The following is a 17072-nucleotide window of genomic DNA, read 5'->3' on the forward strand; positions in this document are numbered from 1 at the left end:
ATGTCCATTACCTCCAGAAGTTTCTTCATGTTTTGTTGTAATCTCTCCTTCTCCTCCCTGATTCCTCCCCATCCCCAGGCAACCATGTTTTGTCACCGCGCGCAGCCATTTACTATTATGATACTATTTTATATAAATAGTATCATACAGGCCGGGCACGGTGGCTCATGCCTGTAATCCCAGCACTTTGGGAGGTCGAGGTGGGCGATGACTTGAGGCCACCTGGCCAACATGAAACCCCTTCTCTATTAAAAATGCAAAAATTAGCCAGGGGTGGTGGCGTGCACCTGTAATCTCAGCTCCTCAGGAGGCTGAGACATGAGGATTGCTTGAACCCAGGAGGCAGAGGTTGCAGTGAGCTGAGATTGTGCCACTGCACTCCAGCCTGGGCAACAGAGTGAGTCTCTGTCTAAAAAAAAAACAAAACATACAGACTCTTGTCTGGCTTCTTTCTTTCAGCATAATTATTTTGAAATTCGTCCATGTTATGTGGTTCCTTTTTATTGCTGAGTTGTATACCACAGTTTTTGATCTATTTACTTGTTGGTAGATATTTGGATTTTCAGTTCTGAAGCATTACAGATAGTGGCTGTTACGGATATTCATGTACAGATCTTTCTTTGTATGGGCATATGCTTTAATTTATCTTGGGCAAATACCTAGGAGTAGAATATGATCCAATATGGTAGGTGTATATTTAACTTTTTTTTCTATCTATCTATCTATCTATCTATCTATCTATCTATCTATCTATCTATCTATTTTTAAGACGGAGTTTTGCTCCATCTGGAGCAAAGGCTGGAGTGCAGTGGCATGATCTTGGCTCACTGCAACCTCTGCCTCCTGGGTTCAAGTGATTCTCCTGTCCCAGCCTCCCCAGTAGCTGGGATTACAGGCGCCTGCCACCACACCCAGCTAATTTTTGTATTTGTAGTAGAGGCTAGGTTTCTTCATGTTGGCCAGGCTGGTCTTGAACTACTGATCTCAAGTGATCTGCCTCGGCCCCCCAAAGTGTTGGGATTACAGGCGTGAGCCATCACACCTGGCCAGTTTTTATTTATATTTTTTATAGAAGATGGAGTCTTCCTATGTTTCACAGGCTGATCTTGAACTCCAGGCCTCAAGTGATCCTCCCGCCTTGGCTTCCCAAAGTGCTGGGATTATAGGCATGAGCCTCTATGCCCAGCCTTATATTTAACTTTTTAAGGTACTACCAAAGAACTTTCCAAACTGGTTGTATAATTTTACATTTCTACCAGCAGTATGAGTTCCAGTTCCTCCACATCCTGTCAGTACTTGATACTGTCAGTCTTTTAAATTTTTTAGCTCTTATAAAAAGGTATATAGTTACATCTCATTTTGGTTTTAATTTACATTTCTCTATTGAGTAATGATGTTGAGTTTCTTTTCATGTGCTTGTCATCCTGATATCTTTGGTGACTTGTCTGTTCAAATCTCTTGCCCATTTAAAAATTGCTTTCTTAATGGATTTTAAGAATTATTTACATAGTCTGGATACAAGTCCTCTGTAATATATATAATTTGCAAGTGTTTTCTCCCAGACTGTGGCTTTTCTTTTTATTAACAGTGCTTTTTGAAGGGCAGATTTTTTTTTTTTTTTTTAAAGAGACAGAGTCTTGCCCTGTCACCCAGGCTGGAGTATAGTGGTGTGATTATAGCTCACTGCAGCCTCAAACTCCTGAGCTCAAAGAATTCTTCTGCCTCATTCTTCCAAACAGCTAGGACTACAGATGTGTGCCACTGCACCCAGCTAATTCCGTTTGTATTTCATTGATTGTGTTTTTGGTGTCACATCTTAAGAAACTTTGGCCTACTTCAAGTTCTCAGGAGTTTTTTCCTGCATTTTCTTCTGGAAGCTTTATAGTTTCATGTTTTACATTAGGTCTGTGATCCTTTTGAAGTTGATTGTTATACGTGGTCCAAGGTATGGATCAAAGTTCATTTTTCTGCATATGGATATTCAATTGTTTCAGCACTGTTTTTTAAAAAAGACTATTTTCTCCACTGAAGTGCCTTTGTACCTTTGCAAAAATCAGTTGTCCATATATGTGTCAATCTGTTCCATCAGTCATGGGTCAAAGGCTGTTCTCATGGGGAGGCTTTTGAATTTGAAAAACTGAAACTCTATACTCATTGGACAACTTTATACCCATTGAACAACTCCCCATTTTCCATTTCTCTCAGCCCGTGGCAATATGCTTTCTGTTTCTATAACATGGACTACTTGAGTTTTTTTCTTTTTTTTGATGACAAGATCTCACTCCGTTGCCCAGGCTAGAGTGCAGTGGCATGATCTTGGCTCATGGCAGCCTTCACCTCCTGGGCTCAAGCTGTCTTCCCACCTCAGCCTCCTGAGTAACTGGAACTACAGGTGCACTCTATCATGCCTCGCTAATTTTTTAATTTTTTTGTAGAGACGAGTTCTCGCCATATTGGCCAGGCTGATCTCAAACTCCTGGGCTCAAGTAATCCTCCCACTTTGGCCTCCCAAAATACAGAGATTATGGGTGTGAGCCATCATGCCCAGCTGGCTAGATATTTCATGTAAGTGGAATCATACATTATTTCTCTTTTAGTGACTTGCTTATTTTGCTTAGCATAATGTCCTCAAGGTTCATCTATATTGTAGCATGTGACAAGATTTCCTTTTTAAGGGCTGAATAATATTCTGTGTTATGTATATACCACATATCTGTGAGTAGACATTTGGGTTACTTCCACTTCGTGGCTATACTGAATAATGCTATGGTGAAAGTGGCTATGCACATATCTGTTTGAGGTCTTGTTTGTAATTCAGTTCGTTTTTATATATACTCATTGGTATTTATATAAATGGGATTGCTGGGTCATATGGTAGTTTAATTTTTTGAGGAACCTCCATATTGTTTTCCATGGTGGCTGCACCATTTTACATTCCCACCAACAATGCATAGTGGTTCCAATTTCTTCACAACTTTACCACCGCTTGTTACTTTCTGTTTTTTGGTAGTGGCCATCCTAACGGGTGTAGTTTTTTTTTGCATTTTTCTAATGATTAGTGATGTTGAGCATCTTTTCTTTTTTCCCCCCATATTACACAGATGTAGAGCATCTTTTCATGTGCTTGTTGGCTATTTGTATATCTTCTTTGAAGAAATATCTGTTCAAGTCCTTTGCCCATCTAAAAAAATCTGATGATTTGTTTTTTTCCAATTGTTTAATTGTAGGACTTTTTTTTTTTTTTTTTTTTTTGAGATGGAGTCTCGCTCTGTCGCCCATCCTGGAATGCAGTGGCGCGATCTTGGCTCACTGCAAGCTCCACCTGCCGGGTTCATGCTATTGTAGGACTTTTTAATGTATTCTGGATATTAATCTCTTACCAGATATATGATTTGCTTTTTTTTTTTTTTTTTTTCGATACAAGGTTTTACTGTGTCACCCAGGCTGGAGTAAAGTAGTGATGTAATCTGGGCTCACTGCAACTTCCGCCTCCCAGGCTCAAGCAGTCCTTCCACCTCAGCCTCCTGAGTAGCTGGAACTATAGGCACTCGCCACCATACCCACCTAATTTTTGTATTTTTTGTAGAGACGGAGTTTCACCATGTTGCCCAGGCTGGCCTTGAACTCCCAGGCTCAAGCAATCCACCTGCCTTAGCCTCCCAAACTGCTGGGGTTGTAGATGTGAGCTACCACACCCAGCCTGATTTGCAGATATTTTCTCCAGTTCTGTAGGTTGCCTTTTCACTCTGATGACTGCTTCCTGTGGTGTGTAGAAATTTGGTGTAGGCCCATTTGTCTATTTTTGTTTTTGTTCTTTAATTTCTCTTAGCAATATTTTGTAAGTTTCATTGTACAGGATATTTGGGGATCTGTAAGACAACCCTCAGGTTCAGTAATTTGCTAGAAAGACTCAACTCAGAGAATGTTTTATACTCAAATTATAGTTTAGTACATTGAAATGATATGGATTAAATTTAGCAACAGAAAAAGACACATAGGGCAGGGTCCAGGAGACACCCCAGGCTCAAGCTGTCAATAGTCCTCTCCCAGTGGAGTTGTGCACACAGTGCTTAATTTTTCCAGCAACAGTGTATGACAACACACGTGGAATATTGGCAACCAGGGAAGCTGGCTGAGCCTTGGTGTCCGGGTCACACATGGCTGACCTCAGTTCTCTGGCCCCTTCAGAGGCCAAGCTGATACTGTGTGACACAAGGCCCTCACCGTAGATCACATTATTAGCGGAAACTTGTTGGCATGACCCAATGCCTCATGTAAACAGCGCAGTGGCTGTTTATAGGCCGGGCGCAGTGGCTCACGCCTGTAATCCCAGCACTTTGGGAGGCTGAGGCGGGCGGATCACCTGAGGTCAGGAGTTTGAGACCAGCCTGGCTAACATGGCGAAACCCCGTTTCCACTAAAAAAAAAAAAAAAAAAAAAAAATAGAAAAAGAAACCAAACCAGGTGTGGTGATAAGTGCCTGTAATCCCAGCTACTCGGGAGACTGAGGCAGGAGAATCACTCTAACCTGGGAGGCCAAGGTTGCAGTGAGCCAAGATTGCGCCACTGCACTCCAGCCTGGGCAACAGGAGCAAAACTCCATCTCAAAAAAAAAAAAAAGTTAAATAGAAAAAGGACATAAATGAAAAAGCACTCAACCATCCTGATAATAAGAGAAATAGATATTAAATTTATGCCAAGATTCCATATTTCTCCCATCAGATTGGTAAAAATCTAAGCACTTGCTAACATAAGGTGTTAGCAACAGTGTGGTAAAGTAGGCAATCTCTTGCATTGCTGATTCTCTAAATTGGTGCAATCCACAGGGAGGGCAATTTGGCATGCTCTCGTTCTCTCTCTCGCTCGCTCGCGCGCTCTCTCTCTCTCTCTCCATGAGAAGGAGAGAGAGAGAGAGAGAGAGCACGCGAACAAGCGATTGAGTGAGAGAGAGAGCACGTATCTGCAGTCTCAGCTGCTCAGGAGGCTGAGGTGGGAGGATTGCTTGAGCCTAGGAGGTCAACGCTGTGGTAAGCTGTTGACTATGCCACTGCACTGCAGCCTAGTGACAGAGAATCTGTCTCAAAGATAAGAAGAATGAGGATATTCTTTATGTACTGATGTGTAGAAAAATCTCTAAGATACATAGTTAAGTGGAGAAAACAAAATGCTGCATGGTGCATTTACTGTACTACCATTTGTGTGAAAAGGGGGAGTAAGAGTATGTGTTTGTATTTGCTTGCATATGTAGAAAGAAACTTTGAAAGGATTCACCAAATAACAGTAGTAAGCAGGGGGATTAGGAAACTAGGTATATATTAAGAGGGAGCTTTTGTACTCTATACCTTTTAATACTTTCTTTGAGACCATGTGAATGTTTTACCTATGTATTTATTTATTTTTAATTTTTGCTTTGCCTGCTTTTAAACAAATAAATTGTACTTTTTTTGAAGAGCTCTATTTTTATTTCCTTTCGATTATCATCTGTAGATTCTTATGTCACATTTTACTTTAACAGCACATTTAGACAGAATACAGTCTTTAAATGGAAGCCGACAATTGATTTCCCTGGAAAATTTTTGAAGTACAATAACATTTGATTGATTGAACTTTATTTAGTAAGAATTCTTAGCAAAATTCCCTCCCAGGCACACCTACATGGTGCTTCATTTTCAGTGAACTACAAATCTCTGAAACCCAAAACTGCAATCTAAAAGTACAAGATGGCTGGACTCGATGGCTCATGCCTGTAATCCCAGCACTTCGGGAGGCCAAGGCAGGAGGATTGCTTGAGCCCAGAAGTTCAAGACCAGCTTGGGCAACATGGTGAAACTTTGTCTCTACAAAAAATTAGCCGAGCTTCACAAACAATCTTACAGGAGTCATTCATTAATTAACTCAACAAATATTTATAGAGTACAGGAGACACTAGAGATCCAGCAAAGGTCAATAACATGTGCTGTCTTAGAGAAAACTTATATTCTAAGAATAGTCAAGTGACAAACAGGAGCTACATCAAATAATCACAAGTACACTTCAGAGAATTAAAACCAGATCAACGTAGAGAAAGGCTTCCTTACATTCGATAGTCAGGAAATTCTCTCTCTACCAGGAGGGAACTGAGTGACAAGGAACAGTCAGGTGGGAGAAGGGCATTCCAGATGAACCAGCCCTGAGCGGGGAACTAGAAGGCCAGTTTGAGAAAAGGAATGGAGAGAGGAGGAACAGTTTGTGGTCAGAGCAAGGACCAAACCATTTTAGACTTCATGAGCCTAAGAAGTTTTGATTTTGTTATGAGCATGACAAGAAGCCATTGTAATCGAGTTTTAAACAAAGGAATGACATGATCTCATTTTGTTTAAAAAAAAAAAATCATCCTGGCTGTAGTGTGGAGAATGGACTAGGGGAGCATAAAAGCAGAAAGACCAATTGGAAGCCTATTAACAGTAATCCAAATGATAGATAATAGTGGTTTGAACCACAAAGATTATGGACATAGAAAGAAGCAGATAGATCCAGGAGATGTTTTGGAGGTATTCTGGCAGAATTTGCTGGCTGACTAGACAGAGGTACTAAGGAAAAGAATCAAGAATAATTCCTAGATTCGGGACTTCCTAGAAACTGGGAGAATGGTGCTGCTGTTTATTGAGATAAATGGAGAAGACAGAGGAGAAGCTTAGAATAGAGTTCTAGGAGAGGTCAGAGATGGAGATCAACATTTGGGAGACAGAATTTTCTAATTCCATAGTGCCGACGATTTTCTATTGATAGACTAAAAATGTCTGGAATTTTATATGCAGTTTCATCTGGACAATACCCTAAGAGGAGATCAGTTATACCTTGGCACCTGCTAATAGCCATAGGAATATGTATATGTAGAATAAATGGTAAAACTACTGAATGCTTAATATGTGCCAGACACCGTGAGATACGTCTTTGAAGTACTATCCCAGTAGAATTTACAACAACCCTATCAGGAGATACTTTTTTTATCACCATTTTACAGATGAAGACACTGAAGTTCAAAGAGGTTAAATAACTCGCCCCAAATCACACTATATAGAAGAGAAATCTAAATCCTGGTAGTCTGACCCCAGAACTTGGGCTAATTACCACTATATAATACAGTGTCACTGGGGTAAACCCAAGATATGATAACATAAGTTAGAGACTTTTAAATTCCAAATTTCACACACTATGATTTCACCCATAAAATGTAGTGATTCAGCCATAGTCTTCTGATTAGTTGGAGTACCCTATGCAATACTTTAGGAACTTGCTTCTTTTATTTTCATATATATATATGTTCATTCATAAATTAAATCTGGACAGCCAGTGAATCTGCCATTTTTGTCTCTAACCAACACTTCTGTCACAAAATTGTACTTTTTTTTGTTTTTTTTTGAGACGGAGTCTCATTCTGTCACCCAGGTTGGAGTACAGTGGCACGATCTTGGCTCACTGCAACCTCTGCTTCCCGGGTTCAAACGATTCGCCTGCCTCAGCCTCCCAAGTAGCTGAGATTACAGGTGCCCGCCACCACACTGGCTAATTTTTGTATTTTTAATAGAGACAGGGTTTCACCATGTTGGCCAGGCTGGTCTTGAACTCCTGACCTCGGGTGATCCGCCCGCCTCAGCCTCCCAGAGTGCTGGGATTACAGGCATGAGCCACCACGCCCGGCCCAAACTGTGCTTTTTTTAAATAAAGAAATTAAAACAGTATTTTTTTCCTTAAAGATGGTGTCTCACTACATTCCCTGGCTCAAACGATTCTGGCTCAAACGAATTCCTAGGCTCAAACGATTCTCCTGCGTTAGCCTCCTGAGTACCTGGGACTATAGGTATGTGCCACTATTCCTGAAAACATAATCAGTTTTGAAGGTAGTGTCTGGGCTGGGCGCAGTGGCTCACGCCTTCAATCCCAGCACTTTGGGAGGCCGAGGTGGGCGGATCACCTGAGGTCAGGAGTTCGAGACCAGCCTGACCAACATGGATAAGACTCCATCTCTACTAAAAATACAAAAAATTAGCCAGGCATGGTGGCGCATGCCTGTAATCCCAGCTACTCAGGAGGCTGAGGCAGGAGAATTGCTTGAACCTAGGAAGCAGAGGCTGTGGTGAGCCGAGATCGCACCATTGCACTCCAGCCTGGGCAACAAGAGTGAAACTCCGTCTTAAAAAAAAAAAAAAAAAGGTAGTGTGTGGCCGGGCGCGGTGGCTCACGCCTGTAATCCCAGCATTTTGTGAGGCCAAGGTGGGCGGATCATGAGGTCAGGAGTTCGAGACCAGCCTGGCCAACATGGTGAAACCCTGTCTCTACTAAAAATACAAACATTAAGCCGGCGCAGTGGTGGATGCCGATAATCCCAGCTCCTCGGGAGGCTGACGCGGGAGAATTGCTTGAACCTGAGAGGCAGAGGTTGCAGTGAGCCAAGATTGTGCCACTACTAGGCGACAGAATGAGACTCTGTCTCCAAAATAATAATAATAATAATAATAAAATAAAAATAAAAGTAGTATCCAGCGTACTACAAAGAGGAAGAGTTTGTGAATGTGTATGTTACTGTTAAGTTAAACAGTGTTCTAGTATCCATCTCATTATCAGCCTTGGGCAGGGCAGGGTTGAGTTGGCTAATGTTCATTATAAACCAGATCATCCAGTTGGGGACTCTGAATGAGCATATGATTGCCCCTTTCATGCTAGACTTAGCTAATTAAACTGTTCATATGACCTAAAAGGATGGCTGTGGTGCCATAGAAAGAAAACAAGTTTTGAGGCAAGAGACTTTAGTTTGATTCCTACCTCTGCTGTTTTCTGGTTGTGAGATTTTTGGATCAGTTGCTTTTGTGTTCATTTACCAAAACTTCTCAAGACAAAAAGAATAAATGAGATAATGTGACAGTGCCTTGTAAATACCAAATACTATATAGAGATAGCTATTATTACTTGTATGTTTATTGTGAACATTAATCAGCCAATCAAGTTGTTCAGACTTGTACTGCTGAACATCAATTGCAGATATAACATTCTTGGCAGATGACTTAGTCACCTCCTTCTGTGGAAGAATAGAAGATAGACAGCTCCTTGCTGTCTATCACAGTATGTTCTGGTCCCGTTGGCCTCACCTTCCATATAATCATTTCCATTCTACTGGGCTTTAGCCACTCTGGTGACTTGAGTTCAGCAAAAATAATCTTTCTTGATGGGTGGTATATATATTTCTACCTTTTATGCTTTAGAATAGTTTCCTTTCCATTTCTCATAGGGTTTGGATCTTCATAACTGTTTGAAGAGAAATCCTGACCTCCAGACTGAAGGAAAGCACACCATGCCTTTATAACGCCAGCCTCGGTCTTTTTTTTGTTCCCCTCTGTCTTAGTTCCTTTTGTATTGCTATAACAGAATACCGCAGACTGGGTGATTTATTTATTTATTTATTTTGTTGTTGTCATTTGTTTTCTTCTTTTTTGTATCTTTTGAAATTCTTTTCATTGTTGTTGTTGTTTTGAGACTGGGTGATTTGTTTATTCAGCTCATGGTTCTTGAGGCTGGAAAGCCCAAGAGTATATGGTACCAGCAGCACCTGATTATGCCATGGTGGATAGACAGAACGGCAAGAGAGAGCTTGCTTTTGTAACAAAGTCACTCCCATGATAACTAACCTACTCCTGTGATAACGACATTGCAGGTTCAGTATCCCTGATTTGAAAGTCTGAAATTCAAAGTGCTCCCAAATCTGAAGCTTTCTGAGTATCAATGTGATGCTCAAAGGAAATGCTTATTGGAGTGTTTTAGATTTTGGATTTTTAGATTTGGTATGTTCAACCTGTAAGTATAATGGAAATATTCCAAAATGCAAAATCTGAAACACTTCTGGTCCCAAACATTTCAGATAAAGGATACTGAACCTTTAATCCATTCATGAAGGCAGAGTCCTCATGACCCAGTCACCTCCTAAAGGCCTCACCTCTTGATACTACCACAATGGCAACCAGGTTTCCAGTACATGAATTTTTAGGGGGATCATTCAAACTATAGCACCCTCCTTTATCCCTTACCCTATTCCATTAGTTTTAATCCCCACTTTGTCTCTTCCTCTAATCTTCAGTCTACACTGTGACATGATAGGTATGCTCAAGTCTCTAACAGCTCTAAAATAACGTTTTCTGTTTTTTTTTTTGTCTTCATTTCTGGTGGGGTTGGATAAGAAAAGTTTTTCAAGTTAAATCACTCTCTATTGCAAGCCTCTTCCACCTTTTTTTTTTTTTTTTTTGCTTCGAAGAATGATTGCCTTTACCTTCTCAGTTCTCAGTTATTTTCCAGCACATTATGATTTTATGACCTTGATACAGAAGGGCTGGGCTCCTGGCTAAATTCCACCCTTAAACCTGGAACTGCAACCCTAAGTGAAAACAGCTAACCCCATTTTTTTTCCCACCCAAATGTTGCCTCTTTGGCCTGCCATGCCCCTATCCTGTGCTCATAAAAATATTTCAGCTGGGCTGGGTGCGGTGGCTCACTCCTATAATCCCAGCACTTTGGGAGACCGAGGCAGGTGGATCACCTGGGGTCAGGAGTTCAAGACCAGCCTGGCCAACATGGCAAAACCGTATCTCTACTAAAAATACAAAAATTAGTTGGGCATGGTGGTGGGCACCATAATCCCAGCTACTTGGGAGGATGAGGCAGGAGAATTGCTTGAACCTGGGCGGCGGAGGTTACAGTGAGCCCAGATTGTGCCAGTGCACTCCAGCCTGGGCAACCGAGTGAGACTCTGTCTCAAAAAAAAAAAAACAAAAACAAAAAAGATTTCAGCAGCTGGGAGAACAATATAAGCAGCTGACGTCAGGGATATAAATGGCTGTGTGTTGGGAATACAAGCAGCTGATTGTCGGAAATACAAGCCACTGAGTGTTGGTGATACAAGTGGCTGAGCAGCGAGCAGAGAATCAGGTGAGCGTTGGAGACTATGGATGGGACGTGGCTAACTTCAGATGGTGCAGCTTTGGAGAATAGGCCCAGCCGGAGATGGCCTGGCTTCAGGGAAAGATCACCTTCTTCCCATACCATCCCTTTTTCAACTCCCCATTCTGCTGAGAACCACTTCCATCGTGCAATACAATCTTCTGCATATACTACCCTTCAATCTGTTCATGTGATCTGATTATTCCTGGACACTGGAAGAGAACCTGGGTGCCAAGAGGAGAGGGCAGGGGCTGCCACCCTGACCCTCCACTGAGCTGGCTGGCACCTGGCCATCCCCGAATGGCCGCGTTGAAGGAGCATTGATTGTAACACACTTGGATGCTGCTGCGGGGCCGCATAGAGCCTGCGCCTGCCAGAGAGGAGCAACTGGCTGGTTCCCGCATTCGTTTGCTCTGATTCCCACACTCACTCACTCGCTTGCACACTGCCTCTTGCAAGGGGTTTGAGTGTGTGGTGGCCGAGTAAACGAGCCACGCTCCGAGCCATGAGGGGGTCAAGGGAATTATCCAGTCTCATCTCAATCCGACTTCCCTCTTCACTGTTTTACTTTTGTAAAACCCTTGATGAACTTCCCATTGTCAATTCAGGGTCTTTTTAGCTCTCATCCTGCCAGACTGTTGATAACACCTCTGATTTGTGCTCCACTTTTGGCTTCTGTGTCATATTGATTCCTGAGTTTTCTTCCTTCTCCTCTATTCTCTTAATCTCGTTTTCTGGTTTTCTCCCATCACCTGCTGGTTAAGCTTAGGGGTTATTTACACTTCTCTCCTTGGTCATCTTTTTACTGTATTTTTCCCTCCACAGCTATTTCATCCATTTCTGAGGCCTGAGATTTCATCCATTTCTGAGGCTATAGAGACCAGTGACTTCCTCTGACTCTTCTGAGCTTGAAATTCCTATTGGTAACTGCCATTGGACTTAACTGCCTGGTTATATCTCTAACTAAAGTACTTCTCTCTTCCAGCCTGTTTATCTTATTGTGTTCCATTGTGTTCCTTATCTCTACCAATGCTAGTTCCTTATGCTAGAAATCTCATTCATTGCCACTCAATCAAGTTTGCTAAAAACGAAACATCTGATTGTGTCACTTATTCAACCTTACCAATTTTTTTTTTTTTTTGAGCCTTGCTTTGTCACCCATAGTGGCACGATCTCTGCTCACTGCAGCCTCCACCACCCAGGTTCAGGTGATTCTCCTGCCGTAGCCTCATGAGTAGCTGGGATTACAGGCATGTGCCACCATGCCCGACTAATTTTTATATTTTTAGTAGAGACGGGGTTTCACCATGTTGGCCAGGCTGGTCTCAAACTCCTGACCTCAAGTGATCTGCCCACCTTGGCCTCCCAAAGTGCTGGGATTTCAGGCGCCTGGCCTGTTACTTGATTATATGCTAAACAAGGGGTGGATTATTCATGAGTTTTCTGGGAAAGAGGTGGGCAATTCCCGGAACTGAGGATCCCTCCCCTTTTTAGACCATACAAGGTAACTTCCGGACGTTGCCATGGCATCTGTAAACTGTCATGGTGTTGGCGGGGAGTGTCTTTTAGCATGCTAATGTATTATAATTAGCGTATAGTGAGCAGTGAGGATAACCAGAGGTCACTCTCCTCACCATCTTGGTTTTGGTGGGTTTTGGCCAGCTTCTTTATTGCAACCAGTTTTATCAGCAAGATCTTTATGAGCTGTATCTTGTGCTGACTTCCTATCTCATCCCGTAACTAAGAGTACCTAACCTCCTGCAAATGCAGCCCAGTAGGTCTTGGCCTTATTTTACCCAGCCCCTATTCAAGATAGAGTTGCTCTGGTCCAAACGCCTCTGACACAAGGATTTTAAAGTCTTATTAATTAAGGTAAGATAGTTCCTTGCATATGTGGTCTGAAATCACAGAAAGCTGAATTTGAAAAAGGTGCTTGGAGCTGCAGCCAGTAAACAAGTTTTCATGCAGGTGTCAGTATTTAAGGTACATCTCAAAGGATAAGTACAATTGTGTATGTTGGGATGAACAGAGAGAATGGAGCAAGCCAAGACCCAGGTAAAAGAGAGGACCTGAATGCCTTCAGTGAACAATGATAGATAATCTAGACTTTTAAACTGCATACTTCCTGTACATTGTTTTTTCTTGCTTCAGGTTTTTAGAACTCATAGTGACGGGTCTGTTGTTAATCCCAGGTCTAACCGTTACCTTGATTCTGCTGAGAATCTGATTTACTGAAAATGTTTTTCTTGTGCTTATAGAATGACAATAGAGAACGGCAGGAGCACAACGACAGACGGAGCCTTGGCCACCCTGAGCCATTATCTAATGGACGACCCCAGGGTAACTCCCGGCAGGTGGTGGAGCAAGATGAGGAAGAAGATGAGGAGCTGACATTGAAATATGGCGCCAAGCATGTGATCATGCTCTTTGTCCCTGTGACTCTCTGCATGGTGGTGGTCGTGGCTACCATTAAGTCAGTCAGCTTTTATACCCGGAAGGATGGGCAGCTGTACGTATGAGTTTTGTTTTATTATTCTCAAAGCCAGTGTGGCTTTTCTTTACAGCATGTCATCATCACCTTGAAGGCCTCTGCATTGAAGGGGCATGACTTAGCTGGAGAGCCCATCCTCTGTGATGGTCAGGAGCAGTTGAGAGAGCGAGGGGTTATTACTTCATGTTTTAAGTGGAGAAAAGGAACACTGCAGAAGTATGTTTCCTGTATGGTATTACTGGATAGGGCTGAAGTTATGCTGAATTGAACACATAAATTCTTTTCCACCTCAGGGCCATTGGGCGCCCATTGCTCTTCTGCCTAGAATATTCTTTCCTTTTCTAACTTTGGTGGATTAAATTCCTGTCATCCCCCTCCTCTTGGTGTTATATATAAAGTTTTGGTGCCGCAAAAGAAGTAGCACTCGAATATAAAATTTTCCTTTTAATTCTCAGCAAGGCAAGTTACTTCTATATAGAAGGGTGCACCCTTACAGATGGAACAATGGCAAGCGCACATTTGGACAAGGGAGGGGAAAGGGTTCTTATCCCTGACACACGTGGTCCCTGCTGCTGTGTTCTTCCCCTACTGACTAGGGTTAGACTGCACAGGCTAAACTAATTCCAATTGGCTAATTTAAAGAGAATGATGGGGTGAGTGCTTTGGCAGGAGTCAGGGAAGAGCAGGTAGCAGGTAACTGGAATGAGGGTGGAGCAGGTAATGGAAAAACATTGCTTTACGAGGAAGTTAAGTTTAAAAGTAGAAGGCAAAGAATTGAACATACTGGCGTATTAATTCTTTGAAATTTAGAACTCACATCTAACATTGGCTTAAATGTTAAATCCTCAAAGATAACATTCCTGTTTCTCCTAACACGATTAAGTCCTTCTTGGTATCTTTTCTCATAGCAACTTGTCCTTTCTCACTTGTCACAATTTGCAAATATATATTTATTTACATTGTTTATTTAATGCCTAATTTCCTTCTTTATTGCAAGGCCTGTGAGGGTACTGAGTCTCCAGGGTGAGGTGTATAATAAATGGCCAAACGAATTGTTAATTGAAAGGATGAACAACTAATTCAAGCCAGCACTCTCTAGACTCCTGGGGGGCTATCATGTGGGTTCCCTGGTGCTGCTGATGTCAGCCCTTGGCCTCCAAGAAAAATGCTTGATTCAAATGTCATCTAGTTCCATCTCTACGACTCTCATGGGGTCCAAAGAAGAGTTTTAATTGAGTTTTAGAATTTGAAGTTGTGAAGTGTCTGAAAAACTACATGGTGTTCTGAAAGCCAAACTTTTAGCCTTTTGGGAGAGCATCTAAGACAGCAGGTGAAGGGCAGGGGTTAGAACTAGAGGGATTGAAGAATATTATCCATATAGGTTAGGGTTAGGTTTGGCAACGTATTATAGAACAAACATTGGCAAGCTACAGCCACAGGCCAGATCTGTCTGCTACCTTTCCACAAAGGTGTAATAACAAAGTTATTCACAAATTTGTGAATAAACTTTCATTGGAAAGTGACCACGCTCCTTGGTTTATACATTGTCTGTGGCTGCTTTCACACTACAGTAGCACAGTTGAGTGTTTGCACTGGAGACCATATGACCCATAGAGCTTAAAATATTCAGTCTGGCTTTTTACAGAGATGTTTCTGACTTTGTTAATAGAAAATCAAAACAACTGGTTTAAATAATGCACATACTTTCTCTCTCATAGAGTAGTGCAGAGGTAGGCAGTCCAGATTAGTACGGTGGCTTCACGTTCATCAAGGACTCAATCTCCTTCTTTCTTCTTTAGCTTCTAACCTCTAGCTTACTTCAGGGTCCAGGCTGGAGCCCTAGCCTTCATTCTGACAGTAGGAAGGAGTAGGGGAGAAAAGAACATAGGACATGTCAGCAGAATTCTCTCCTTAGAAGTTCCATACACAACACATCTCCCTAGAAGTCATTGCCCTTACTTGTTCTCATAGCCATCCTAAATATAAGGGAGTCAGAAGTAAAGTCTTTTTGGCTGGGAATATTGGCACCTGGAATAAAAATGTTTTTCTGTGAATGAGAAACAAGGGGAAGATGGATATGTGACATTATCTTAAGACAACTCCAGTTGCAATTACTCTGCAGATGAGAGGCACTAATTATAAGCCATATTACCTTTCTTCTGACAACCACTTGTCAGCCCACGTGGTTTCTGTGGCAGAATCTGGTTCTATAACAAGTTCCTAATAAGCTGTAGCCAAAAAAATTTGATGAGGTATTATAATTATTTCAATATAAAGCACCCACTAGATGGAGCCAGTGTCTGCTTCACATGTTAAGTCCTTCTTTCCATATGTTAGACATTTTCTTTGAAGCAATTTTAGAGTGTAGCTGTTTTTCTCAGGTTAAAAATTCTTAGCTAGATTGGTGAGTTGGGGAAAAGTGACTTATAAGATACGAATTGAATTAAGAAAAAGAAAATTCTGTGTTGGAGGTGGTAATGTGGTTGGTGATCTCCATTAACACTGACCTAGGGCTTTTGTGTTTGTTTTATTGTAGAATCTATACCCCATTCACAGAAGATACCGAGACTGTGGGCCAGAGAGCCCTGCACTCAATTCTGAATGCTGCCATCATGATCAGTGTCATTGTTGTCATGACTATCCTCCTGGTGGTTCTGTATAAATACAGGTGCTATAAGGTGAGCATGAGACACAGATCTTTGCTTTCCACCCTGTTCTTCTTATGGTTGGGTATTCTTGTCACAGTAACTTAACTGATCTAGGAAAGAAAAAATGTTTTGTCTTCTAGAGATAAGTTAATTTTTAGTTTTCTTCCTCCTCACTGTGGAACATTCAAAAAATACAAAAAGGAAGCCAGGTGCATGTGTAATGCCAGGCTCAGAGGCTGAGGCAGGAGGATCACTTGGGCCCAGGAGTTCACAAGCAGCTTGGGCAACGTAGCAAGACCCTGCCTCTATTAAAGAAAACAAAAAACAAATATTGGAAGTATTTTATATGCATGGAATCTATATGTCATGAAAAAATTAGTGTAAAATATATATATTATGATTAGTTATCAAGATTTAGTGATAATTTATGTTATTTTGGATTTCAATGCCTTTTTAGGCCATTGTCTCAAAAAATAAAAGCAGAAAACAAAAAAAGTTGTAACTGAAAAATAAACATTTCCATATAATAGCACAATCTAAGTGGGTTTTTGTTTGTTTGTTTGTTTGTTGAAGCAGGGCCTTGCCCTGTCACCCAGGCTGGAGTGAAGTGCAGTGGCACGATTTTGGCTCACTGCAGACTCAACCCACCAGTTTCAAGCGATTCTCCTGCCTCTGCCTCCCAAATAGCTGGGATTACAGGTGTGTGCCACCACACTCGGCTAATTTTTGTATTTTTAGTAGAGACAGGGTTTCACCATGTTGACCACACTGGTCTCGAACTCCTGGCCTCAAGTGATCTGCCCACCTTGGTCTCCCAAAGTGCTGGGATTACAGGCATGAGCCACTGCGCCCGGCCCTAAGTGGTTTTAATATTTTGATTGACAGTATACTGAAGAAATATACTCTAAGACCTTTATGAATCTCCTCATTCACAAATAACACTGTAGGATATAATGGTCCCTATAAAA

The 17072-nt window shown here is 41.7% G+C and overlaps 1 protein-coding gene across 10 annotated transcripts in view, besides 3 other annotated features; it reads left to right on the forward strand.

Annotated features, from left to right (window-relative positions):
- Window positions 1–17072, forward strand: part of PSEN1 (presenilin 1) — an 87275-nt gene that overhangs the window by 21157 nt on the left and 49046 nt on the right. For all 10 annotated transcript variants that reach the window (XM_047431602.1, XM_047431601.1, XM_047431600.1 and 7 more), the window contains exons 4-5: window positions 13224–13474; window positions 15993–16134. In XM_047431602.1, the coding sequence (XP_047287558.1) occupies window positions 13224–13474; window positions 15993–16134 (393 nt within the window). The remainder of the gene's footprint in view (window positions 1–13223; window positions 13475–15992; window positions 16135–17072) is intronic.
- Window positions 10807–11743: an enhancer, noted in NCBI's record as "H3K4me1 hESC enhancer chr14:73635088-73636024 (GRCh37/hg19 assembly coordinates)". NCBI's record gives its function as "activates a minimal SCP1, AML or CMV promoter by ChIP-STARR-seq in naive H9 embryonic stem cells {active_cell/tissue: H9 hESC(naive)}" and the evidence as "EXISTENCE:reporter gene assay evidence [ECO:0000049][PMID:30033119]".
- Window positions 11744–12680: an enhancer, noted in NCBI's record as "H3K4me1 hESC enhancer chr14:73636025-73636961 (GRCh37/hg19 assembly coordinates)". NCBI's record gives its function as "activates a minimal SCP1, AML or CMV promoter by ChIP-STARR-seq in primed H9 embryonic stem cells {active_cell/tissue: H9 hESC(primed)}" and the evidence as "EXISTENCE:reporter gene assay evidence [ECO:0000049][PMID:30033119]".
- Window positions 12953–13531: an enhancer, noted in NCBI's record as "NANOG hESC enhancer chr14:73637234-73637812 (GRCh37/hg19 assembly coordinates)". NCBI's record gives its function as "activates a minimal SCP1, AML or CMV promoter by ChIP-STARR-seq in naive H9 embryonic stem cells {active_cell/tissue: H9 hESC(naive)}" and the evidence as "EXISTENCE:reporter gene assay evidence [ECO:0000049][PMID:30033119]".

This window comes from Homo sapiens, chromosome 14 (genome assembly GCF_000001405.40).
Source record: "Homo sapiens chromosome 14, GRCh38.p14 Primary Assembly".
Taxonomy (NCBI): Eukaryota; Metazoa; Chordata; class Mammalia; order Primates; family Hominidae; genus Homo; species Homo sapiens.